Raw genomic sequence first — 27,534 nt, forward strand, 5'->3', positions numbered from 1 at the left:
ACTTAACTGCATACACTTGTCAAAACTCATTGAATTATCCATTTAAAACTGTAATTTTATTGTAAGGAAATTATGTCACAATAAAACTAATTTTTTTTTTTTTTTGAGATGTAGTCTCACTCTGTCACCCAGGCTGGAGTGCAGTGGCACTATCTTGGCTCACTGCAACTTCTGCCTCCTGGGTTCAAGCAATTCTCCTGCCTCAGCCTCCCGAGTAGCTGGGACTACAGGCACACACCACCATGACCAGCTAATTTTTGTATTTTTAGTAAAGATGGGGTTTCACCATATTGGCCAGGCTGGTCTCAAACTCCTGACCTCGTGATCCACCCGCCTTGGCCTCCCAAAGTCCTGGCATGAGCCACCACACCCGGCCAATAAAATTAATTTTTTCAAAAAGTTAAAGTCCCCTTTCCTCCATAGTCTATCCATTTTAATAACTCTGAAAACCCTCCTAAAGTCTCCTGATGCAATTTCCTTTAAAAGACACACTCACTCAGAGCCTGCCTTCAATGAAGAGAAAAGAGCTGCCAGTCCACACTTTTGCATTATCCTTCTGTGCAATCCACACCAGTCACCGAACTTCCATCTTTCATCAGCTTTGGTTGCTCTCCAGAGATCTTTCTCAAATTCTCTCTAACAAGCTTCAGGGATGGGACCAGACAAACTTCTCCCCCAAACAGAGATCTGGGTTTCCTTCCTCTTGCCACTATTCCTTCTTGTAGAATTTAGTATCATGTATTTAGTATCATACCACAGGACTTCTTAGCTGGGAAGGAAGGCAGACTTTTCTCTATGTCTGAGGGACTGTGTGCCTAATGAGAATGAGCATAATAAAAACTCACTGCAGATACATTGTATTTTAATATACATATGTTATCAACAGAGAAAGGCACTATATGGAAAATGTGATAAATGAAAATCTTTCATTCTGTAGGCATTTCTTTCTAAAAAGACAGCATTTTAGAGAAAAGTTAGCATTTCATAAGCACTTGTATTTCAGTAATCTAGGGGAGTTATGCTTGATTTTCCTTCATATGAGAGCTATTTCTCTAAAGTGCCAGGTATTTTACTCAATATGACATTATTCTGAATGATTTTAGGTGACATTTTCTGTTCAAGGACATAACAATTTACTTTAGGAATAGATTTTCTCTCCCTGCCTTCATGTAGGAACTGACATCTGGTGAACTCCAGACGCAGCCAGTGTTCTCACAGCGTATGGATTACCTGCATCAGAATCACGCCATGGTTCCCAGTCTTGCTGAATCAGAATTTCTAGCGGTGAACCCCAGGAATGGGATGTACATTTTAAGTGTGTACTGTGTGTGATTCTTGGGTACATTAAAGTTTGAGGACCACTAACTTACACTATTCAAATTAATATGATCTGGCTGGGTGTGATGGCTCATGCCTGTAATTCCAGCACTTTGGGAGGCAGAGATGGGGGATCATTTGAGGTCAGGAGTTCAAGAACAGCCTGGCCAACATGGTAAACCCCATCTCTACTAAAAAAAAAAAAATACAAAAATTAGCTGGGCGTGGTTGTATATGTCTGTAATCCCAGCTACTCAGGAGGCTGAAGAAGGAGAATTGCTTGAACCTGGGAGGCGGAGGTTGCCGTGAGCTAAGATCGTGCCATTGTACTCCAGCCTGGGAGACAGAGCAAGACTCCGTCTCAAAAAAAAAAAAAAAAATATATATATATATGATCTTCACACCTAACAGGTATTGTTACTGCTACTGATAATATGACTGGTAGTAGCCGAACTTTATGGAGTTCTTATCGTTTGCCAGGGTGTGGGTAAAAAAGAAATAAGTGATTAGAAAACATACAAAAACTCTAATAGATTCAGCGCTTTTCATTTAGCTCCTAATTGTTTTTCATTGTTGTTGTTTTTGGAACCCTATAACGATGAGTCACCTCTCAGTATGTGGTCACAGGTTTAAACTTGGTCCCACTTCGGGAAGAGATAAAGGGAATGGCTGTTGTAATCTATCTCCAAAGCTACCTTTAACATTTGCAAACAGATAGTGTGATGAGTAATATGGGGACCCAACAGCAGCAACAGAACCATAGCTGAGAAAATGAGATTTAGAAATATTCTTAAAGATTATTGGACAAATACAACATTTTGAAAGATGAAAACAAGGAAAAATAGTAAGTGATTAAGAGCAGGGCAATGGTAGTGGGATGGTTTTGCAGGAGGGTGGTAGAAAATTTAATGTGTTTCTTTTGCATGTCAGTATTTCTAAGGATGATCCAAATTCTAGTATTGTGTCATGTAGTGGGGAAGTTTTCCCCGGAGGCTGCAGAATAATTCATGGTCAAAATGTCACTTCTAATTTAGTGTCTATGTTTCACCCTATGCTTTATTAACCTTCAGCCAAGCAATAGGATACTTATCAACACCTACGGCATTTAATACATGTGATTTCCACAGAGAAACAGTAACCCAAAACTCAAAACCCTCCTCCTTCCAGCTCAACTGACAACGTTTCCTAATCCCTTCAAGACCGAAGGTACTGGTGTTGGCATGGCTGAGACTATCACATAGGTCATGCTGTGATGTACGATCTCAGCCCATGAGACAGAAATCATCCTTTTTTTTTAAATCTTTTGCCAAATCAATTCAGCCAATAAACAATCTAACACTGCTAGAGATGGAAGGCATGCAAATGTTTTTAAGATGATTTTTTTGGTGGGCCTTGAGAGAGAGTAACAGATGAAAATAAATGGAAAAGGGTAAAGGACAGAGACTCCAGACTTGAGTGAGCACTGATTCCACTGCTGCCAATGGAAACTGAAATGGAAGCCAACCCCGTTAGTGTCTTGCAAGCTTAGGCATCGGATGCCTACCAGAGCTGCTGTCATATCTGAGTACTGCTCTATTCCTAAAATGTGAATCTAGGTCAGTGAAATCCAGCAACATTTGCCCACCAATTTTTGATGGTCTGTTCCTTTGTGGATGAGGAATGCTGAATTCATGGTGACAGGGAGAGTTTAAACTCTTTTCCAAAAATTCTACCAAAGGCACGCCATTGTGGTAGTTATTTCTGAAGTCATTTTGTTCATCATTGTCCCCAGGGGCACAGAACAGGAGTTCTGTAATTATCTTCCAAAGTGTTGATCTGGTCCCTTTTTCTCCCTTTAAAGTCCATCAGTCACGATGTTCTGTTACTTCTCTAAGTGGGCCTCACTTTCTGCACTGCCCTTTCCACTTTCACAGCTACTTTCCTAGTCCAGATCCTCCACTCATTTATTCATAGACTGTGCTGTGCAATGGCATCAGCTAGTTTTATTACTCCTAATCCTTATCCCTGTTAAATCATTATGGGAACCGTGCCAGACAGATCTTTCTGAAAAAACACCTTCAGCTTCTACTCCTCTGCTAAAAAAAAAAATCTGTGTTGTCCCCCACAGCCCACAGATAAGGAAACCCCGATTTCATTGGCCAAGATAATTTGAAGCAGCCCCAACTTGTATCTTTCACCTCTCTCTCTGTTTCCCTGCATCCAGCCCCCATTCCAGCCATTGTCTCTTGATGGTACTACTGACACTTCCCCAGGCTGTCCTGTTTGTAATAACCACCACTCTTCTGTGCCAGCTATGCCTGACGTTCATTCAGGTGCACTCAGACTTTGAGTCCTGCTTCTGGTTGATCAATCCCTCTCCAGAACTCCTACCACCTTTCCTAGGACCCTGAACCATTTATTAGCCACTTATGTTGTGTTGCACGGTGACAGTTTTTATCTTTTAATGTTCTCTCTTGTTTCTCCAGCTAAATGGGAGCAGCCTTGAAGGCAGAGATCATGCAGAGATCATTTCTCATCCGACTCAGTATCCCTGTGCTTGGGATAGTATCTTTCATATATTAATAGTTGCTGCTCAGTAAATCTTACCACTGTGATGTCTTTTCAATTGCTGTTTTAAAAGTCTTTTTGCAGAAGAGACAGTAATAAGAGGTTTTGAAAATCTTAGCTGCTTTTCCTATCAGAGTTTTATGTATGAATTAGAAAATCATGTTTGTTAGATATCCAACTGAATAGTTATATATGTAATTAAAGCTTCTTCTAAGAAAATGGAATGAAGTTGGAATCTTTCTGTGGTTTTCCTCAAACAGGCATAAAAACATTGCTAAGCACAAACAGATATAAAGATGTTCCGGCTGGGCGAGGTGGCTCACGCCTGTAATCCCAGCACTTTGGGAGGCCGAGGCGGTGGATCACGAGGTCAGGAGATTGAGACCATCCTGGCTAACACGGTAAAACCCCGTCTCTACTAAAAATACAAAAAATCAGCCGGGGAGGTGGCGGGTGCCTGTAGTCCCAGCTACTCGGGAGGCTGAGGCAGAAGAATGGCGTGAACCCGGGAGGTGGAGCTTGCAGAGAGCCGAGATCACGCCACTGCACTCCAGCCTGGGTGACAGAGCGAGACTCTGTCTCAAAAACAAAAACAAAGAGAAAAACAAAAACAAAAAAAAACCCCAGATGTTCCATCACTTACAGGCACTGAAAGGACAATATCACATTAAGATTCTACAGTGAGCCCACTCTGAAGTGATCCTTACCACTAGTGCTTTATAATTATATGGTTGCTACTTTTTGCCAAGTAGTTGTTTGCTCCATCCTAGGTTTAAGACACAGCATTTCACCTTGACTGGCTGTTATAAAATTTCCAATGGGAAGGAACAACACTCTCGATTCCTACTGAGGCTAATTCAACTTTGTTTTTTCAAGAAGAGAACGAGTATAGGAGATAGGGGTCACATAGGGAGAGCTGGAGGCAGAGCAAGAATGACAATCCATGAAATGGATTCTAAGTTCTCTGCTTTGTCCTCATGGGCATTTTGGCCCTGTAGGCAATTATGCTTCTTTAGTAGAATCAACATATGATTATTATTTTAAAAAGTAAGGTATTCTCTAATATCAGTAATAGTGTGAAGTTTAACTTTTTTCCCCCTTTTTGGCATATATCTTCACACAGTAAGATCAGGTCCTGTTGTTAGGTTTTTCTATGAGTGTGTGTGTGTGTGTGTGTGTGTGTTGGAGGAGGAGGTATGGGAATATGAGTCAAATGCAAGCTTCCTGTTCTCAGAAAATGATAACATTAGTGATTTTGGTAACTTGGAATATTTTAATGAGGAATTTTAGCATGTCAAATGGATTAAATCATGGCATCCAAATTATTACCCAGTTAGGTATTATATTTCAAGTTTATACAATGTTTAATTCTGGGCAGGAAAAACCTAAGAAGTTTCTAGTTTTCTATGGCTTTAATTTGAATACTTTCTTTACTTTTACTGCTAATGTAATCGGGATATGTTATTTTGCACCTGTATGACAAAAACGTTGGCTTCTTCAGGTGCACATTATTCGGGATTGTAAGCTGGGCACTTTTGGAAGTTGCAGATATCCTTGAAAGCAGTGGCTCTCAACCTTGGCCTGTGCATTAGAATCACCTGCAGAGCTTTTAAAAAATGCAGATGCCTGGGTTCCATTCCAGACCCAGAATATCAGAATTTTCTGAGATAAACCCAGGGTAGTATGTTTTCAGAAAGCTACTCAGATGCCTTTAAACCACTCTCACTAGGAACCACTAATTTAAGGTCACTTATAGACTTTTTCTTTCAGAAGTTAGAGTCTTGGGTTGAAAGGCCCCTTATAAGGCTATGTGGCCAACCATCCAACAGATGATTACCCCTACAATATCCTATAGAGTCAGTTTAATACTTTTTGATGGTCTAGTATATACTGGACAGGATGAACAGCACTTTTAAATATAATTTATTCCTTTTTCCCTTTGACATTTTCTTGAAAGCCCAAAAGGAAAAAAAAGCACATTATTCCCTTTCTCCTACTTGGCCAATTTTGACTTCTTCCTGCCTTGGGACTAATGCTAAAATTCAGCATGGCTGTTTTGGTGTCATAGCTTCAAATTATTTATTGGCTTATTATGCCAAAACATTTTATTTTGGCCACCCTAGCCTTGTTGGCATACAGCTCTGGGAATATTGTCAGATGAGGCAACTGCTGCCAGGAAAAGGAGCATAAACAGTTGTTACAAATTCAGAAGCTATTTGGTTTTGTGTTTTAATTTCTTAATACACGCATGGCAGATTTAAAAAAATCATTGTTTTGTGGAGCTGGTGAATACAACAGCCAGATAGTAAGACAAAATTAAACCTACAATGGGATTGTCAGTATGCCTTTCATAGCAGAGACTCAAAGTGGAAAATCTTGTGGCTACACACTATAATTCCCTGTGACAACAATAACTAAAAATGCAAAGTCTTTATTTTTTCCATTTCAATCACCCTGTTGATATGAGCTAGTTAGTTCTCATTCTGTCTTTTGGGTTTTGCTAGTTGTCATTAAAGGAAATTCCAGGCAATAAAAAGCATATAAAATCCAAACACATTAAGGGTTTTTCCATCTTCATTTTTTATATGACCATCTATAAAATAACATGGACATTTTTGGACATAAAAGCAATGCTGCAGCTGAGTCAAAACAAGAGGAAATACAGTCTGAGTGATCTCTATTATATAGTTAGTCATTCAAAAGAAAAACAGGCTGTGTGCTATGCAATTTAAATGAGGTACAAAGCAGCTCTTGTGTTCATTCAAGGAATGTTAGAAATTCAGTTAGTTATTTCAGGAAGTAGATAAGAAACCTAAAAGACATTTCCATTGAGATGCATTGTGAGCATTTTAATTTAAAATTACAAGTCTATTGAAAAACCACATACTGTATTTAAGCTCCATTTACATGACAAAGGCACAAAAAATGGAGTGGTGATCTCATAATTCTTTTCTTACCACGTCCTTGTAGTATTTTTATTAAAAGTATTTTTAGGTAATAATTTATTGTGATACAAAAGAACAGAATTACTAATTTTAAAAAAGTCCACCAAAGAAAACTATAGCTGTATCCCATAAATATACACAAATGTAATATATGAAAAAAATGAAAACAAAAACAAAACAAGACAAAACAACAAAAAATTCCTCTCCCACGGGGTTAGGAAGGTGAGGATGCTCCTCCTGCTGCCCGGCCAGCAGATGGCACAGTCCTGTAGCCGGTCAGTGCTGCAGTCCCTCCCAGGTGGGGTCAGCAGCTTCCTCCTCTGAATAGTTTCAGGAAAGTTTTAGCTAAAGGTACCACCTCCCCTGACCTCCCTCCCTCTCTCCCTTCCCTCCCTTCATCCTTCCCTCCCTTCCCTCCCTCCCTTCATCTTTCCTTCCTTAAGAAAATTTTTTTTTCTCCAATTGACTGGAAGAGTGAATGCTACCAATGAGGTCAAGTTAAAAATCATTACTGAGAATTACTGTGAGTCCCTCCTGAGGCAGATATTACTATCTGTCCTCCTGTGACGATAGCATGTAATTAATCCAGGTTTTTGGAAAAGAAGGCAATTTCAGGGATGGATCTAGAAAAAGAACAAGGTGAGATGTGGTATAGATTTACTCTTTCTTATGTCTTTTTCCCCCTTAATTAAAAAAATTAAAAACAGGGTAGTCTGTGGAAAAGACAGTCATCATGTAGAATGGTAAAGCAGGGGGTTAGGAGTTAGGCACACTTAGTTATTGGAGAATTATTTCTGTAAGTCAATCATAGCCTACTTCCAACAATGTAACATATATATTTTTCCTAAACTTTAAAAAATTAAAGTATACAAAGTGTAATATATAAAGTATAACACACAAAGTGGCCCTCTGGACCATGACTGCCTCCCTTCATCTTAAAATAACTATTATTCTGACAGGTAACAGTAGAGAGTAGCTTTGCCTCTTGTTTAACTATGTGCATGAAAGAATAGAATATTTATTCTTTGGGGGGGTTGGCTTCTTTTGTTCAAACTTTGGAGTAACTGGAGTACTCATCTTTTTAGAGAAGGCAAACATTCCTTCTGGAAGAGTACAAACAGGTCTAATGCCTGTGTGCTAATTAATTTGTCTTACATTATTTTTTTTTTTTTTTACAGGTAGAGGGGTATGAAGGTGAGATGCAAAGTTGGGAGAAAAACTATAGGAAATGCAGGTTGCTCTAAAAACTAATTTGGCCTAAATAATAGTATTTCTAGGATCAGACTTGCTGTTAAATATCTAGCATTTGTTCAAACCAACCTAACTTCTAGTACCTTTGCCATATGGATGGTAAAATGCAGTAATAATGTCTTCCTTTCTTCTTTCCCTAGATTGGTACCCTGTATTAAATGTGTTGTGGTGGCCAGGCCTGTAATCCCAGCACTTTGGGAGGCCGAGGCAGGCAGATCACTTGAGGTCAGGAGTTCGAGACCAGCCTGGCCAACACGGTGAAACCCCATCTCTACTAAAAATTCAAAAATTAGCTGGGCGTGGTGGCGGGTGCCTATAATCCCAGTTACTCAGGAGGCTGAGGCAGGAGAATCTCTTGAAAGTGGGAGGCAGAGATTGCAGTGAGCCAAGATCAAGCCACTGCTCTCCAGCCTGGGCAACAGAGTGAGACTCCATCTTAAATGAATCAATGAATGAGTGGATGAATGAATTTATGTGTTCTGGGCTTTTTAGCTGAGAATTGCTAAACTCTTCCTAGATGGATGATTTCATTTAAATATACAATGCACACACTATTAACTCTACTATAATCTCAAATGGCAAGATGATGATCTCCATAAGAATCCACTTCATTAACCAAGAGTAGATTGCAACCCATTACAAAGTATTTCAAATGCAATAAAACTACCCAGAAACCCTTGGGGCTCTCAGCTTTACCTAAACATGTAAGAAGTAGATTCTGAAGGAACCAAGTACTCAGAGAGCAGTGACAGAGGTGAGAAGTAATCAAGCTTTCGGTGTGTAGCACAGGAAGGCACAATTCACCTCTGTTTAAGTAATATGCCCTTTAAAGAGATGCCCAAGTGACCAGGGACTTCTCTACAGAGGAAAGAACTGAGACATCAAGGTTTACAAGGGAAAAAATAAATATCTGGTACCAAACTCACACCTATCCTGAGACTGCTCAGATCCTGGATACCAGTAAAAAATGGAAAGTCAGGAGATAGGTGGAAAGACACGGAAGGAGCAGACAAGCTCGGCTAGAACCAATCTATGGCAAAATAATTAGAAAAGGTTTTCTAATTAAAAAAGAAGATTCAGTATGGAGTAGGTTGGGCAACTGGGGCCAGGGGAATCAGGGCCCAGGAAACTTGTTTCTGGAACTGTAAGATCCCACTCAAAATGATTATTTCATCAGGTCTCAGTATTTTGAACTGTAAAATGGGAAAAACAAAGCCAATACCACTTTTATCACTTATAAGTGATATATTTGTCTCTATTCATCTGTCTTCCTGCCTGTCTATAATAACATGGAGTATTTATATTTCTATGTTAGTTAGCAATTAATAATTGCCCCATTAGATCTAATTAAATGAAGGAGCTTCTGCACAGCAAAAGAAACTATCATCGGAGTGAACAGGCAACCTACAGAATGGGAGAAAATTTTTGCAATCTACTCATCTGACAAAGGGTTAATATCCAGAATCTACAAAGAACTCAAACAAACTTACAAGAAAAAAACAAACAACCCCATCAAAAAGTGGGCAAAGGATATGAACAGACACTTCTCAAAAGAAGACATTTATGCAGCCAACAGACACATGAAAAAATGCTCATCATCACTGGCCATCAGAGAAATGCAAATCAAAACCACAATGAGATACCATCTCACACCAGTTAGAATGGCAATCATTAAAAAGTCAGGAAACAACAGGTGCTGGAGAGGATGTGGAGAAATAGGAACACTTTTACACTGTTGGTGGGACTGTCAACTAGTTCAACCATTGTGGAAGACAGTGTGGCGATTCCTCAAGGATCTAGAACTAGAAATACCATTTGACCCAGCCATCCCGTTACTGAGTATATACCCAAAGGATTATAAATCATGCTGCTATAAAGACACATGCACACGTATGTTTACTGTGGCACTATTCACAATAGCAAAGACTTGGAACCAACCCAAATGTCCATCAATGATAGACTGGATTAAGAAAATGTGGCACATATACACCATGGAATACTATGCAGCCATAAAAAAGGATGAGTTCATGTCCTTTGTAGGGACATGGATGAAGCTGGAAACCATCATTCTCAACAAACTATCACAAGAGCAAAAAACCAAACACTGCATGTTCTCACTCACAGGTGGGAATTGAACAATGAGAACACTTGGACACAGGATGGGGAACATCACACACCGGGGCCTGTCGTGGGATGGGGGAGGGTGGAGGGATAGCATTGGGAGATATACCTAATGTAAATAACGAGTTAATAGGTGCAGCATACCAACATGGCACATGTATACATATATAACAAACCTGCATACTGTGCACATGTACCCTAGAACTTAAAGTATAATAAAAAAAGAAAAAATAATTGCCCCATTATTAATTTTATTGATGGTTGTAACATAGAAACCAAACTGCTCTCAAATAAATAAAGCAGCTGAGTTCATGCAAACCTGAGTTTCACCAACCCATTTCGAACCTGTGACTATTTCCTTAGGAGAGCTCATTATTCCCCAGATCAGTTTGTCCTCTTATTTTCACTACAAGGTAACATGACATTTTTGATGCTAGAAACATGGCAGGTGGGCATTCACCAAATCCACAGGCCTGTGGTTTAGGCAGTACATTTGCTGATGGAAAATGCAATCTCCAACGAATGCCTTTCTAGCTAGTGAGGATTATTTATAGGTTCTGACAAGTAGAAAAGGAACATCATTATTAACACTAACTCGAATGAACTCTACAGGGAGGAGGACTATAAAGTCTTCATAGGATGCCCTTAACAGATGTGGTCTGAGAGAATTTGACCATGGGAAGGGAAAGATGAAGAGAGAAATAGGGGTGAGTTGCCAAGCCATGCAATAGGACTTAGGGCTTGGGGTTTTTTTCCTAGGTCATCAGTGGTCCTCTTTTCTGACTGCAGGGTCTTCCTTTTCCAATGTTGGTCCAACATCTCTGAAACAATGCAGGGCTTTCTCCTCAAAGACCCAGATTGCTCCCTCACGGTGATAATCTTGTCTTCCTCACTGTTAAGTTCCTACTTCTTCAGATCTCACCTGCCCCTTCCACCTGTACCCCTGGAAACCCACTAGAAACTCTACGAGTTGAGCTGGTTTGCTCACATCTCATCAATGTACTTTGCTCAGTCTTTGCTTATGCCATGTCCCCACCTGTAATTTTCTCTCATTGAATTCTACCCTGTCAAATGCCATCCATCCTTCAAGACTCACATCTAGTCTCATTTTTCTCTACAAAGCTTTCTCTGAATATCTAGGCCTCAGGGAACGCCCCCTTTTCCTCTGAACTTTGAAGAGCAGTTAGGGCCTATATCATATAACGTAGTGCTAATTAGTCATATTTGATTACCTTTTATTTTGTTATGTGTTAGTCTCTCTAGACTATTTGAGTTACAGACCTATTGAGGTAGGGACCAAATGATTTGAGTTAGGGACCTGATCTACCCAGAATGGCAGAAGGGGCCACTTTTTCTAGTTGGTCCACCCAGAAGAAGTTCTTTCTGCTAATACACACAAATGCATGGTATAGACCAGCTTAAACCCTCTCATCTTATAATCGATCTCAGACATATGCAGACCAGCCTAGGTACCACGGATAGATACCACAGTCCCTAAGGAGAAAAATAATCTTCCTAGACCTCCTGAGTGACACCATTTATCAAATGTTTTCTTTCAAGACACCAGCTTTTTTTATATGCAAGAAGTTGACATGAACTTCCAGATGGAGCAGAACAAAAGACATTCTCTAAAGTAAACGAACAAAAGCCACCATGATACAAATCAAATTCTGAGACAGATTGTTCAGCAACAATTAATAAAAGCCTTAGAAACAGAATCAAAGATACCGTTTGGGAAGAGGTGGAAGAAAGGCCAGGTGAGCTAGCTCAAAGAGTGGCAGATAATACAGAGAGGAAATTTAGCTCAAGGAAACGATTGCTTCCCAGCCAAACCACCACACTTGGCACTGAGGTAGAAGAGAAGAGACCTGAAAGAGCCTCAGGGCCCACAGATTTGCTGTCTATGACTAAGAGGAACTTCTGGCTTTGGCCCTTTAATAAGTCATGCATGCTCGTGTGCAGGACCAGCTAAGAGGAAGGGGCTGCAGTCCTGACCCACCATTTATTATTAGCACTATGACCTGGGGTGAGTCACTTGATCTAGTTTTCTCATCTGCAAAATGGAGATAATACCACCTCTCTCATTCATTTATCCATCCCTTCATCAGACATTTATGAAGGGCCCACTGTGGGCCAAGTGCAAAGGAGCATAATGATGAGCAAAACAGACACAGTCTTTATCCTTATTGGGTGTCCAGATCATCTCACGGGGTTGAAGTTACAGAGAAGGAAAGGGAAAGCACTGCATTGTAACAACAGAAGGTCATCTTCTTTATCAATGACTTCCACTCTTGATTTAGCCGTGTGACCTGGGCAAGTCTAATTTTCTTCTGGCAAGTCTACTATCTATAAAATGAGGAAATTTCCGGTCTTAAAATGTTATTATTCCAAATGCAAATGAAGAAGTTAAGCTTTTTAGGTACTTCTGAACCATGGCTTTCTAAAAGATTATTATGAAATAGTCCAGACGCAACAAAAGGATAAGAATAATATAACAAACCCTGTGTACCAACTCTCCAACTTAAGTGAGAAAACATTACAAGGAGCTCAATCTGGTGGCATGCCCTCCTTTCCCCTGAGGGATAATGTTGATGAGTTTGGTGTTTATTATTTTGAATCATGGCCTTTTTTTTAGGAAATCTGGTGTGTAACTAAAAACAGTTCACCAGTGAAGAGTTCTTCCTACACTTAGGTGTTCCTGGCTTCTAATGAATGTGAGGTCACAACAGTGCACATCACAGAAGCTCAAATACCTGCCTGTTCTCTCCCTGCCAACCCTGCTTGTTACTCCCCCAGCAGAGAGAATGTGAAAAACCCTGTGGCAGGCACCCCCACTACATTTAGAAGGAGCACAGTTTTGTATTTACCTTAAGGGCCTTCTGTGCAGATTCACTAGACCCAATTGCGATCAGGTTAGGCCCAGCCATGCTGCAGAAACTCTTCAAATGCAACCCATCTGCCACTGGCACTGTGGAGACTGCATAGTCCTACGTGGACAATAGAAAAACAAGCAGTTTAGTATTGCAGAATAATTCTAAAACTGATTAAAAACCTCCCTGAAATACACCTACTTCTTGAAGGCTGACAGGGACCTTGAATATTTGGAAGAAAAACTGGGACCCACAGATTTGGATATTGCTAGTTAAACGAAGACTGCTTCTAAGAAGACAGTAGAGTCACCAGATGTGTGACTGCTGCAACATCTTTGCTGGCTGTTTGATCTATGGAGTGGGCTACTCTGGGAGGGTGTATTTGAATATCCTGTGTAAACAGTGGCTCAGCTGGAGACTCACATCCTCATGGGGAACGGAGCATCTTGAGAGTTATATCCCTTCCTATGCAGTGTAGAGAGCCAATCTATTAATAATCAATAGAGTAAAGGGACCTTAAGAGGATGTACGTGCAACACCTAGCACAGTTTACAGCACACAGAAGGCACTCAAGCACAGGTGACCCCTGATTCCAATCTAAAAAAAATCTGTATTTCATAACAGAGTCAATTGGGTTTCCAAGTTTTTTTTTTTTTTTTTTAGAAACAGGGTCTCACCATGTTGCCCAGGCTCATTTGGAACTCCTGGGCTCATGCAATCCTCCTGCCTTGGCCTCCCAAAGTGCTGGGATTATAGGTGTGAGCCATCACGCCCGGCCTTCCAGATTTTTTTTTAAGTTGTTGATTGTTCCAGGAACATCTGCCAGGTGGTTGTATAATTATACACTGGGAGAAGACAGAAGATGCCCATGCTAACTTAGTTGTTCTTGTGGTAGCCCAGTGAAGCTGAATTATTGAGGAATTTGAATTTTATAGCTTCTAAAACTTCTAGTAAATGTACAAACATTACGAATTATTGTACAAAGCCAGTGAAGCGTAAACACCATTACTCATGACATTGATTCAATGGTTCTATGATTATTTATTAAGTAATTGCTTTGTGCCAGGCATAAACTACCTTTTACCTACCTTAAAAGTATCAGCCAAGATTTCAGCACCTCGTTGATTTGTCCTTTTGGAAAGGCCCACAAAAAATTCTCTGCCTGTAATAGATGTCATGGAACATAGTGAGCAGGTGGCACCAGTGACTGTACATCATTTCTTTTATCTATAAATAATGACCTTAAAGCATCACACAGTTCTCTCTTACCACAGAGAACAGCTTCACTAAAGAGACTACAAAAAATGATTTCAAACTACTGCCCTTAAGAATAAACTTTTTCAAATTCAAAAGGGCAGAAAGCAGGATGGTGGTTTCCAGGAGCCATGGGGAAGGGTAAATGGGGAGTTATTGTTTAATGGATAGGAAGTTTCAGTTTGGGAAGATGAAAAAGTTCTGGAGATGCCTGGTGGTGATGGTTGCCTAACACTGTGAATGTTCATGCCTCTGAACTGTACACTTAAAAATGGTTAAAATGGTAAATTTTATGTTATGTATATTTTACTACAATAGGAATGAAATTTTTATTTAGGCAATAATAAACACATTGATAATCTCTGATCAGAAATTAAGTAATAGCAATGACAATTTAACAGTAAAACAGTTCCTCAAATAACATCATTTTGCTCAACTTTGATGAGGAAAAAGAAAAAATTGATTCTGAGCTGGGGCCATGGTCTGTAGGGAGTTTGTACATTCTCTCTAGGCCTGCGTGGGTTTCCTCCCACATCCCAGAGCTGTGCACAGCAGGTGAATTTTCATGTTTACAGGGTCCCAGTCTGAGCAAGTGTGGGTGTGTGTGGGTGAGTGTGCTGTGATGGGACGGTGTCCTGTCCAGGGTGGGTTGCCGCCTTGCACCCCGAGCTTCCAGGATAGCCTCCAGCCACCCTTGATGACCCTGAACTGGAAGAAGTGCCTTAGAAAATGAATGGATACAAATGATTGTAATAAAGCATCCAATAATCATACAAATGTACAACAATAAATGATGTCGTAGGAAAGTGCTCAATGAGCCCACCATATTTGTGATTGTTTTGAGCTGTATGGTGGGAGGAGGGGCTCCTTACAGTTTTATCTTTGCAAATATTTATTCCCTGATTTAACCCACCACCACAACTGCTGTTACTCAGTAATTGGCCAAAAATTGGGCAATTATCTTGTTTTTATTAATTTAAAAAAATGTGCATATGGCTGACATTTATTTCAATGCTTAATATTATAAGTGTTTTGGGTTTTGATTTAGAAGCTGGGTGATATTTTTGTGACTAGAAATATGCCAGAGGAACTTAACTCTTGTTTATATTAGCCTATGGTAAAAATGGTTTTGTTATATGTCACTTCGCTTAAAAGTCACAGTTTCCATGAACCTATCAACATTGTTAAGTGAGAATTTATTATACTACCTTTTTTTTTTTCACTAAAAGAACAGTACTAGACATTGTTGATAAATTCGGATTCTTTTCTTATAAAATGATCACGTGAGGCCTGAGGAAACAATCTGGGGAAAGTGAGTTAAGTGCTGACTGGTCTTCAGGTCTGACCTCTAAAAGCCGTGTCTTTGAAACTACACATTCCATATATTTGAAATCAAAACATCAAAAGATACCTATGTACAAAGTACAAAATTTCTGCAGGATGAAACTTCATTCTTATTTGACTTTTCTGAAATTCAGCAGTTTTTCTACTCAGAAGGCAAAACACTAGATAAAAATGGTCTCTTAGTTATAGGCAAATAATTATAGTATGGAGTTAGGCAATACATAAATGTGGGAACTCTCATCTTCCCTTTATTTATTGAAATTCCACATAATATGTGGAAAAGATATTCAAAGAGAAATTAGTATCTTTTTGCCTCAGAGTATTATGGTGAAGTATAAGAAGAGTAGCCATGCAGAAGTGCTTGATAGATTTTATAAATATTATAACTTTAATCTTCATAATGTCCTTATTAAACGGGCAAATGACATAGGTCAGGTGATGTTACGACAATATCCAAGGGCTTATGTTGTTGGCAGACACAGGAATCTTTTGTGGCACACTGACAGTTTTTTGGGTAATGGCATGATTGTGTTGTCCTTTAAGAAAACTCATTATATAAAGATCAAAATTTAACTCAAGGAGAGGTATTTTACTTGAAAAAAGTATTATGCACTTTATTAAATAGTCAGCTACAATGAAAAAATACCAAGTTTCTTTAATTCTTTCAAGATAAAAATAGGTTTATAAATTAATTTATTTATAACTTTTAAGAAAATCTTTTAAGAAAAACATAATACTCTGAGGCAAAAAAAATACTGATTTCTCTCTGAATATGTTTTCTCACATTTCATGTGGAATTCTTTTCCAAGAAACAAAGGGAGGAAGAAAATTTCCACATTTATGTATATAACAAATTTATAGGGTGGCATGCATACCATTTCCATTTTAAAAGACTAAGGTGTTCGGAGCGTGATGTGGGCTGATTGAAAAAAAGTAAAAAAAGGCTAAGATGTGATGGGAAAGTACAAAGAGAAGGATGCTGCTTATCTCTTCAAAGTAGGTTGGACTTCTGTCTCTGGCAGTACGTTGGATGAGATCTCCTAAATAATCTTCCTGATGGAAACAACTAAAATACTGAAATGGACATCTAAATTTTTTTGATGTCTTTTGTGTCATTTTCTTCTATGCCAATTCACAATTTTTGTTTTTCCCCTTCCTGTCTCAGTCATTTATAGGAGAAACCAGGCCATTTTTCCTACTGACTGTCCTACATTCTTGCTTTGACTGGTTGCTTCCTCTTATAACTTAACATTTAAATTTTTTCCTTTATCCTTTGTATTTTCAGTAAGCAGGCAGTTTCATGTAGATGGTTAATTAGATGCTCATTCATATATTTTTTTAATAGGACTACTGTGTGTTCAAGTGGCATCAGCCTGATTCCCTCATTATAAAGTTTCCTGTCAAGCTTTCATATAGCAGTTTTAATATCATTTGTTGATCATTGCACAGATCCATTATTTTTTTATTAGGAATCTGCATTTACTCGCTGCAACCCTAAAAAGAAAATCTCTCCTCAAGTATTTGGTCTACTTGAAATGAAATTCATAAAGGAAAGAAAAGCTAAATACTTGAGTCTTTCTTTTACATATAAATTATTACAGTTATGAGTTAGTGTTCCACCAACTTGCAATAATAACCAATAAGTTTTTTTAAAAAAAACCTCATTACCTTTGAATGAATCAAAGATTAAATCACAGTGGAAATTACAAAACATTTAAAAAAACTAAATGATAACAAAAATATCCACATAAAAATAAGAAGGAGTCTGCTAAAGTAGTACTTGGAGGCCAAGTTACATAGCATTAAAAGCTTACATTAGAGAAGATGAAAGGCTAAAATTAATGAGATAAAATTCCAACTTGAGATGTAGAAAAAAAGAGAACAGAGTAAAAAGAAAGAAATGTGAAGGAAGGAAATACAGAAACAGAAAAGAAACATTCAAGAGAAAGAGTTCAACCAAGCCAATAGTTGGTCCTTAGGAAAGATTAATAAAATTAACAAACCTCTGGCAAACAAAGAAAGAAGGCATAAATTAACATTACCAATGAAAAGATAATATAGCTATAGTTGCTGTGAAGCTTAAACAGATATTAGGAAATATAAGTAACTTTATACCCAACATATTGAAAACTTAAAACAGATAAAATCTTAGAAAATGGAACGCATCAAAACTGACTCAGGAAAATCTAAATTGTCACATAATCATTAATCAACTAAATCAGTTTTAAATTTCTCCATAAAGAAGGCACAAGAGCCTGTTTCCAAAGTTTAAGGAATATATAATTCAAATAGTATTGATTCTAGAGAATAGAAAAAGAGGAAATATTCCCTAATACATTCTACGAGGCTAATGTAACTCTTTTATCAAAACCAGACAAGGATAACAAGAAATATAAATTATAGGCCACAAAAATAATAGTCATAACAAAATGTTATCGAACTAAATTCAACACTGTGTTAAAAAGAGAATACATCATGATCAAATTTGATTTCATGCTGGGGTTGCAAGACTGGTCAAATATCAGAAAATGAATTAATGAAATTAACTACATCAACAGATTAAAGAAAATCATATAATCATTTCAGTGACAAGAAAAAGAGTTTACTCTATCACCTGAAATTCATTTCCAGGTGTTTACTTTAGAGAAACTCTTGTATATGTTCCCAGGAGACACACACAAGAATGTACATAGAAACACAGAAGATAATCCACAAAAACTGGAAAACATCCAAAAACACATCAGTAGTAAAATTAATACATACATTATGGTGTATTCTTATCACAGAGAACTACACAACATTGAAAATGAACTACAGCTACACACATCAACTTAGATCAAAAGTAGAAAAATCACCTAAGAGTTCATATAATGTGACTCTAATAAAGGTATCTTGTAGCTTTATAAAACTACAAGACAAACAAAACTAAAACAACATACACTTTAGGAATACATGCATGGAGGCAAAACTCAAAGAACAACAAAGCAATAATTAACACAAAATTCAAGACAGTGGTTACTTGAGGTCAGGGGAGAGGCTGGTTTTGACTGGGGACCCCACAGGGGTGTCTATGGTCCTGGCAATGTTCTACTTCTTAAGTCAGGAGGTGGACACCCAGGTGTTCATTTTATTATTGATCTTTAAACTGTACATAAACATTTTATAACTCTTTTTTAATGTACTCTATATTTCACAAAAATAAATAAAAGTAGAGGTAAGTTGCTGTCTATTTAAGAGAAATGGTATTGAAACAATTTTTGCCAGTAGCTGCTTGCCTGACTGACAGATTTCCCAGCAGGAACTGGATTTGGAAAGCAGCTTTCCTTCTGTCCATTTCCTGATAAATTATTAATGAGGCTTTGAATTACAGAGAAAAGAGGACATAGAGCACATAGAAAATGTTACAGACCTTATTTCTTATCTAACTCTTCCTAATCCAAAAATTGAGTGGTAATAGTTGTATAACATTATGAATGTAATTAATGTCACTTGAATTGTACACTTAATAATGGTTAAAATTGCAAATGTTATGTGTGTTTAACCGCAATAAAATAAAAGAGATGAAGAAAAGTGACAAGTAGAAAATAGAAGGCAGGAACACACATTAGGTGTGAATGGAGTGCCAAGGAGGTAAAGATATCCCAACATCATCTCAGTTTTGAACAAAGTAACTATTAACACATTAACTTAAGTATTGAATATAACAAATAAAAAAAGTCTACAGGTAGTATCAAAGGCAAGCCTAAATGCTTAGTACCTACTTTGAAGATAGGTCAAAACTACTGGGCTTGAGATGCTAGGGAAAGACCTTTGACCAAAAGAAGAGACTCCTAGTGTAAGTTGCACTTTCACACTGAGGAGATTTTAGGGGGTCTTTCTGGCTCAGCTGCTAAAATAAATGGTTGTGAACATAGCTTGGTTAAGCCATATTTCAAATGTTAACAGTACCTGCTTACAATAAGTTATTCATTGCATGGCTATGTTCTGATAAAAAAGAGTTATATTGTAAGGAAGTGTGATTTACACATCTAACTTTTCACAAAAGCCTATTTTGTTAGATAAACAGACTGTTGTTCTGTACTGTCAAAAAGAATGAAAGTGCCATCAACGGGAGACACAAAGAATATTCTAAGGGGAACTTACTAGGCAGATTCAAAGAATGCCTGAGTCTGCTTGGGCACACCCAGAGATAAGAATGCAGCGTAGGCCTTCTTGACTCCTTGTTCTGTGTTCTTAGGGTTCAATGGGCATGCAAACCAAACCCCAGAGATGGACCACTGCATGAGACAGTGGCAGCACAGGTGCAGTACACAACTCCAGGGCATACTATTCACACAATCCCTAAGAAGAATGGCGCCCCCAGAGCTGGCAACGTGGTGGCCCCACCCATAGCGACAGTATGTGACACTTAGCAAAGAACTGCTTAAATGTCACAGAATAAACACTATTCCTTCTTCAGGAACATTAATTATGTCCAAAGTAAGTAATGCAAAACATTATTTTGATATTAAAACAAAAATGGCTATATCTTGACTATACATATATATGAGATTCAATATAAAATTCACATCAGCCAAAATATTAGACTTCCAAGAAGCTTCACGCTTTCAGTGGGCCACTTGGGGCCACATTCCCAAGTCCCTGAGGACCAGCCTTTGCTGTCAGGGCTACATTGGTGAAATGTATTCTCTGACATGTCTGGGAAAATAAATTCTCACTATAAATTAAAATTACTATTGATTATCTTGCTCATCAGTATAACCAGAATGAATTTGGGGACCCAGATTTTACACATGATTTTATACAACACTAATTATACGATAAATGAGTTGAAAAGGTTAAATGCTAAAATTACTGTTTCTTTAGTAGCCACATTACACACTGTAAAAACTGACTCCAGTAAGATCAATAATAATATTAGCTGTTCATATTTTGTTGAGTTCTGCTATTATCCATCTGGCATTAAGCCAAGTCAATTTGCATAGAAATTATTTAAATCCACCTTGCCATCTGGAAAGAAAGTTATTTGTAAATGACACTAATCTTGAATTATGAATCCTTTAAATACAAACCAGATATACAGTAACAATGGAAAACGATGCAACTTATAAATTCATGCTGTAGAAGAATAAAGTAGAAGCAAGATACAAAGTGGTGATGTACATACCAATAATGTTCTTGTAAAAATATGCAAATGTATATATACGAAGTACTAAAAGGACATATATACTAAATACTAAAGTGATTATATTTGAATAGAAGGTCATTTTTTTTCCTTCTTGTGTTTTCCTGTATTTTCCAATTTCCCTCCATTTAGCATCTGTTACTTTGGTAATTAAAACTACTACAATAGGCTGGGCATGGTGGCTTATGATAGTAATCCCAGTATTTTGGGAGGCCGAGGTGTGCAGATCACCTGAGGTCAGGAGTTTGAGACCAGCCTGGCCAACATAGTGAAATCCCATCTCTACTGAAATACAAAAATTAGCTGGGCATGGTGGCACACACCTGTAATCCCAACTACTCAGGAGGCTGAGGCAGGAGAATCGCTTGAACCCAGGAGGCGGAGGTTGCAGCAAGCCAAGATGGCGCCACTGCACTCCGGCCTAGGTGACAGCGAGACTCTGTCTCAAAAACAAAAACAAAAAAACACAAAAAACTATAATAAAACAAGTAAATACAAGCCAAGTATTAAAAATATTCTTGGATAGAAAAAATAAATACAACTATACCTGTGAATAAAACATCTCCGCCATCTAAAGTTGCATTTTCATCTTTCATCTCTACTATATTGAGCTGAAGTTTTTCTAATGCTTCTTTCATCATGTCAACCTGTTGAAAATAAAATGATTCAGATTACTATGCTACAATTTCCTAACAAGAAAAAAACATCCAAAACATCTAAACACTAAATCAAGCTCTCGTGCACACACCCACACACATCCACACTCATATACACACCCATCCTTGTGAATATATAATGTATGACCAGTCATGATCATTTGTAAGAGAAGAAATGATCTGTTAAAAATTGTTTATTTTGTTCCCTTCTAGTGTAAGATTGAGTCAATACAGTGTCATTTTTTTCTGTAGAAAGCTGAGTAGTTACAATACTGTTGGAGGCCGACTAGTTAAGACACTGTTGGAGTACGACCAGTTAATGCACCATTGGAAGCTGACCAGTTCGGCCACTGTTGGAGGCTGACAAGTTAGGGCATTTGTTAGAGGTTGACTAGTTAGGATATTGCTGGAGTCTGACCAGTTAGCACACTATTGGAGGCTAACCAGTTAGGGCATTGTTGGAGGCTGACTAGTTAGGGCACATGAGTAAAGGAAGGTGGGAGGCAAGGCACCCAATTCTGACCAGTTAGCACACTATTGGAGGCTGACTAGTTAGGGCACATGAGTAAAGGAAGGTGGGAGGCAAAGCACCCAATTATCCTACCCTTGCCAGGAAATACAAGATTCCATTTTAAATCTTATGTCAGTCATTTAGTCAGAATTGCACACACACACACAGTATAATACATGGAAGGAATATCAATAACTCGTAATTTGAAATCTCAACCCATAGGACAATCACTGTTTTCTATTCAAATATTTTGTAAAATGTCAAAACATCCTTTGCTTCTCTGTAAATGTAAACTGTGTTAGTTATATTCAAACAGTTAATATGATTACCCATCTTTTAAAACCTAGTTCCTTAGAGGTGATTAACAAGTTCAACAATTACAATCAAACCAATGAATATTTGAAAATAAATTTCAGGAATTTGTATGATTCCAGGGCATGTCTAAAGCACAGAGATATTCTGGGTTGAATTAAGGAACACTTCTATTGAGGCTTACTTTAATATAAGAAATGAATGTGAAGCATAACAAATTGAAGCTCACAATTTAATTCAAGTCCTTCCAGTAGCTCAACAAAACAATTTAAATATTTTCAAAGGTCTGCAAAACCTTTAGGATAGTAAAGACATACAATGAGATGACTCGAATAGGGGACAAGGGAACAAGAGATCACATCACACTGGGCAAAGCAGGTAGTTCTTCCAAAAATACAACATGCTGAGTACACAGTGTGAATTGTCAGTGAAGAGTTTAAGAGACACAAATAGAGCAGAGTTACTTCTAAAGTAATAAAAATATGGAAATACTTTGACAACAAGCCTGACATTCATGCATTCAAAAAACATTTAAAGAGGATACAAAGTAAAATAAATATATCATCTCATCCTTGTCCTGGAACTCATGTAAAAATTCCACAAACCAGAGTGACTCAGAACAATAAAAAATATTTCCATGGACAAAATGGTCTTAATGTTGTAGTAAATACATTCAGTGACCTCTTTTAACAGCAGAATAGGTTTTCCTATGTAATAGGAAGTGGAATTGTTGCTACAGCATAAAATAAGGAGCAAACACAATATTTACCATGACTTGTTGGGCTACTATGAACCCAGGAAAACACAACTGTTTCCTTTTGACATCTCTGCTTCTTTGTCCATGGAAAATTCACTGAGCTTAGGGAGAGATCATGAGAACAGATATACAGTTACTTTTTGTTTCTATTACTAATGCTACTGCTTCTATTATAACTTAACATTTCAAAGATTAGGAGGAGTTGAGCAATAACATAAATTTTGGTTTGAAAAGTTTGTATGTAACTATGCAACATTTCAACTCAGGAACTGTATTCAATTCTTAAAAGTTAGAGGAGAATAGAAGTAGGGAGTCTACTATATACCAGTTTCAGAAACATTACATCTCTTTAAATGTCCTATGTCTTTGAAAATTAAAAAGTTTTAGAGGATAAAATGTTTGTGCTTTTCTTTTCTTTTCAAGTTAAAACAGCTGCACTGACATTAAAAAAACTAGCTCTTGTGCAGGGGCAGTACTTAAAAAAATTCAATCACATCTATACAAACAGTCATCAGGATAGGTCCATACCACACATGTTGATGATACTACATTACTTTCAGAGTTAAGCACATGGACAAGATTTTTAAAAAATTGTAAATATCAAGTAAACAGTTTTGAGAACTGCAGGGCCATATGGCATCAAATCGGCAATGCTAAACTGAGGGAGATTTCTGGAGAAGAAATGAGAGGCTGAACTCGGCAGGCTGTCCATTGGGAACCACACACTCTTGGCATTGAGGTTCCGTTGAAGCAGACAAACTCAGCTGCAAACAGGCCTGACACATGGGTCCATAGCAAGCCAGCTATTCAGGCAGTTAGAACACTAAATATAACTATAGAAGTGGGAGTTTTTGCAGGAAAAGATCCAAACCATGAGCCTTTAAGAAACTGCCCATTCTGTGGTTACATGGCCATGGTTAATGTTGACTTTATTAACTTCCAAGAGGAAAAAAAATGACCAAATAACACACCCACCTTTCATTGAGACAGTAACCCTGCAGTGTGGAACTTAGCATTACTCAGAGAAACCATCAGGACAAACAGTATTAATTCCAACGGCTGAGCTGAATGGGTCATTTTAGCCCACAAAATTAGAAATAAAAAGGGAAAATTAGAAAAACAACCTACTTAATTTAAGCCTTAGAGTATAAAGTATATACAGTAATTTTCATTCTTTACTCAAAAGATTTACAAGACCTTTCTTCCCTCCCTTTTCATGCTACATGCACTTTGCATTTCATTTTAAAACAATGTTATACTTGCATTTTTTGCCCCATTTTTCTCCTCATACTATTTATCACAGCATAGATTTCTTCTCTGGTCACAGCTGCTGCAGATCACCTCTGCTGCTTCCAGTTCTGCTACTTATTAGCCAGTGTCCTCAGGTTATTTAGTATTCTGAGCCTCAGTTTTCTCACCTTTAAAGTGGGTATTTATTCATTATAGTATCAACTTTTTAGGCTCCTTCTGGTCATTAAATACATACAAGTCACACAGTATTTGCTGAATAAATATTGTATTTTTTATGAATAACAGCTTGTGTATACACAGTGACAGATACTTGTACTATAAAATTAGTGCACAAGAAAACAACTGTTGTTTTTTCTTATATTTGGACATGTTTCTTGTGTTTTATCCCTCCATGACAGATCCCATCTGCTTTCCTGTGAATTAAAATTATAGATTTTTTTTTTGCAAAGCCAGTATACAGTTAGAGAACATACATTGAGGATACATTTAAATTTAAATTTAGATAATCCAAATCTGATTTCCTTCCAGCTCCTGGAAGCTGTCAAGACATGTGGCAAATTTCTTGTGTAACCTCTGCTTTGAAATAGCCCTTGGAAAGTACTACATAAGGTGGGAAGTGGGCCTGTCTGGTAAGATGTTCCACAGGACTCAAAAGAGCATCAGCTAAGATGATATGGAATGATCATGGTCACTGAGAATATTACCACTCTAAGGGACCCAATCAGTCTAAAGAATTCTTTCTCTTTCTCAATGCCTGGTCTCCTTCCTTACCCTTCCCTTTTCTACTCTCTTCTTTCCTTCTTTTACGGCTCTCATTTCCATCCTATCATGTTTTCATGATTATCCTGTCTTCTCTTTTCACTCCCTTTAGACCTTCATGGTGAGTGGCAAGAACCAGGGATTAGAATAAAGTCTTTATCACTTATTAGCAATGTGACTTGGATAAATTCACCTCTCTGAGTCTCAGTTTCTTGACCTGCAAATGGGAATAGTGCTTTCTCTCTAACAGGGATTATGTGAGTAACAAATAAGATAATACATGTAAAACACCTAGCTCAGTGCCTGGCATATTGTGCTCAAAACTAGTAGTTGATGATATTATTATTTTGCCCTAAATTAACTCAGTCCTTTGTTTGGATTTTGGCTACCTTTCAAAAACAAGTAAAAGATAAAAAATACAATTTTCTGTATTAAATAAAACATCTTTTAAGTTCAGTTTTCCTTTTGTTCTTGCAAAATCTCCCTCAAACCTAAAATACTAAAAGAACTCCCAAAAAACCCAAAACTCTCCCTAATATAAAACAAAACAAAAATAAAGCCTTATATAGTTTTACTAGGAAGCTATATTCATAATAACTTGTTATAGCACTGTTAGTTTAATACTCTTTATTTCAGGGCAATATTTTCCAGTTGACCCTTTCCAAAATTGACTTTTGCTGTTTATTTTCAGTAATGCCCCTTTTGAATGTTTCACATCTTCGTTCTAAATGTTGTGAATGTGCTTGTGGGGCCTGGTGAACAGTTCTGAGCTATGGCTCCTTAAAGAATATGCACCAATCTGTTAGCCAAGCTGCTTTCCTTCAGCTGTTTCTGCTGCTAGATACTATGAAATAAATGTGGCCCTCAAAGTTGGCCTGTCTGTGGCTGACATGTCTCAGTCAACCACAGTTCTGCCATGTGCTAGAAGCTGTGCTATCACCAATGTCACCACTATGTTTTCAATGCCTGCTTAAGTTGTCCTGGTTTCTTTGTAACTCATCACATTACAGGAGCTTTAAAATTATAGAATCATTCTACCCCTACACTTGTCTAGCTCCAGAGAGTTGAACAGTAGCAACATAGCTTTGTTGGTAGTGAGATGGTTTCATCTCCCAACTTTTTGCTGATTTTGTTTTGCCTTTTAATGTTGAGTGTGACATGTAGATAATGCTGAGGAAGCTGTTCAAGAAGCTGTCTTGGCACATCAAGGCACAGATGGCTTGGAACTTGCTGATGCATCAAAATCACTATATTGTCTGAGGTCATATTCAAAAGACCACATTTTATTTCTTTATGCTACTTTAAACTTCTTTGTTAATCAGCACATCTTTGGTCACTGTGGCCACTTGCTAGTACACTTGGCTGATTTTATGACATTGCTTAATGTTGTATCACATTTTCACACATATTTTGTCATGTGAATAACATCTCAGTTCAACAAATATTTGGTGGATGTCAACTTTTTTTTTTTTTTTTTTCAAATCAGGCTACAATTCTTTTTTTTAAGCCACAGCCCTTGCTTGCCTCTGTGAAATTAATCTAGTGGAACAGATACACCTTCTGAATATATAGTGACAATAAAATGGAATATTTGTTGTGATGCTCACAATAACTCCAAAAAGAAGAAAGGGTAGATATTAGTATACCCATTTTATATATGAGTAAACTGAGGCTAAGGGAGGTTGACTGACTTGCCGAGTCAAGCCTCCGGAGCCCATCCTCATTTTCACTTCACTGTATGATTAAGATTCTCCTGAGGTCTCATCATAGAGTGCAGCCCACATCAGAATTGGAGCCCATGCCTTCTGCCTTCCAATTCTGTACATTTAAGTCCACTGGATATTGTAAGATCCTGTGCCAAGGTGACTTTGTATTCCATGATCTCTTCATATCAGAGATAAATGAAATTTCTGTATATTAGGGCCTTAGGATGTTAAGTTATAGAGTGATTAAGAACACTAAGTAATATGAACAGAATATATAAACCACACCAACCTGTTTCACCAAGAAAAACCTGCATATTCATTACTACCCTTTGATTTGGAGATGCCTTAGGTTTGTTCAGTGGTTCATTCCTAAATTTGTCCATATGTGCTGATTACTTTCTTTTTTTTTTTTGAGACAGAGTTTCACTCTTTTTGCCCAGGCTGGAGTGCAATGGCATGATTTTGGCTCACTGCAACCTTCGCCTCCCAGGTTCAAGCAATTCTGCCTCAGCCTCCCGAATAGCTTGGATTACAGGCTTGTGCCACCACACCCGGCTAATTTTGTATTTTTAGTAGAGACGGGGTTTCACCCTGTTGGCCAGGCTGGTCTCGAACTCCTGACCTTAGGTGTTCCGCCTGTCTCAGCCTCCCAAAGTGCTGGGATTACAGGCATGAGCCACCATGCCTGGCTGTATGTGTTGACTACTAAAACTAGCCAAAACTACCAACAAAAAGGGATCGAACAGAC

The 27,534-nt window shown here is 37.9% G+C and overlaps 1 protein-coding gene across 8 annotated transcripts in view; it reads right to left on the bottom strand.

The window, feature by feature from the left end:
• Positions 1 to 27,534, bottom strand: part of DDAH1 (dimethylarginine dimethylaminohydrolase 1) — a 259,716-nt gene that overhangs the window by 18,882 nt on the left and 213,300 nt on the right. For 6 of the 8 annotated variants that reach the window (XM_005270707.3, NM_001134445.2, NM_012137.4 and 3 more), the window contains 3 exons: positions 21,382 to 21,481; positions 14,140 to 14,213; positions 13,049 to 13,168 (listed from right to left, as the gene is read on the bottom strand). In XM_005270707.3, the coding sequence (XP_005270764.1) occupies positions 13,049 to 13,168; positions 14,140 to 14,213; positions 21,382 to 21,481 (294 nt within the window). Of the gene's footprint in view, positions 1 to 13,048; positions 13,169 to 14,139; positions 14,214 to 21,381; positions 21,482 to 23,082; positions 23,172 to 27,534 lie in introns of all 8 variants that reach the window. The other 2 variants (XM_011541158.2, XM_047416630.1) reach the window with 1 other exon arrangement.

The sequence above is a fragment of the Homo sapiens genome, chromosome 1, assembly GCF_000001405.40.
Source record: "Homo sapiens chromosome 1, GRCh38.p14 Primary Assembly".
NCBI classification, from domain to species: domain Eukaryota; kingdom Metazoa; phylum Chordata; class Mammalia; order Primates; family Hominidae; genus Homo; species Homo sapiens.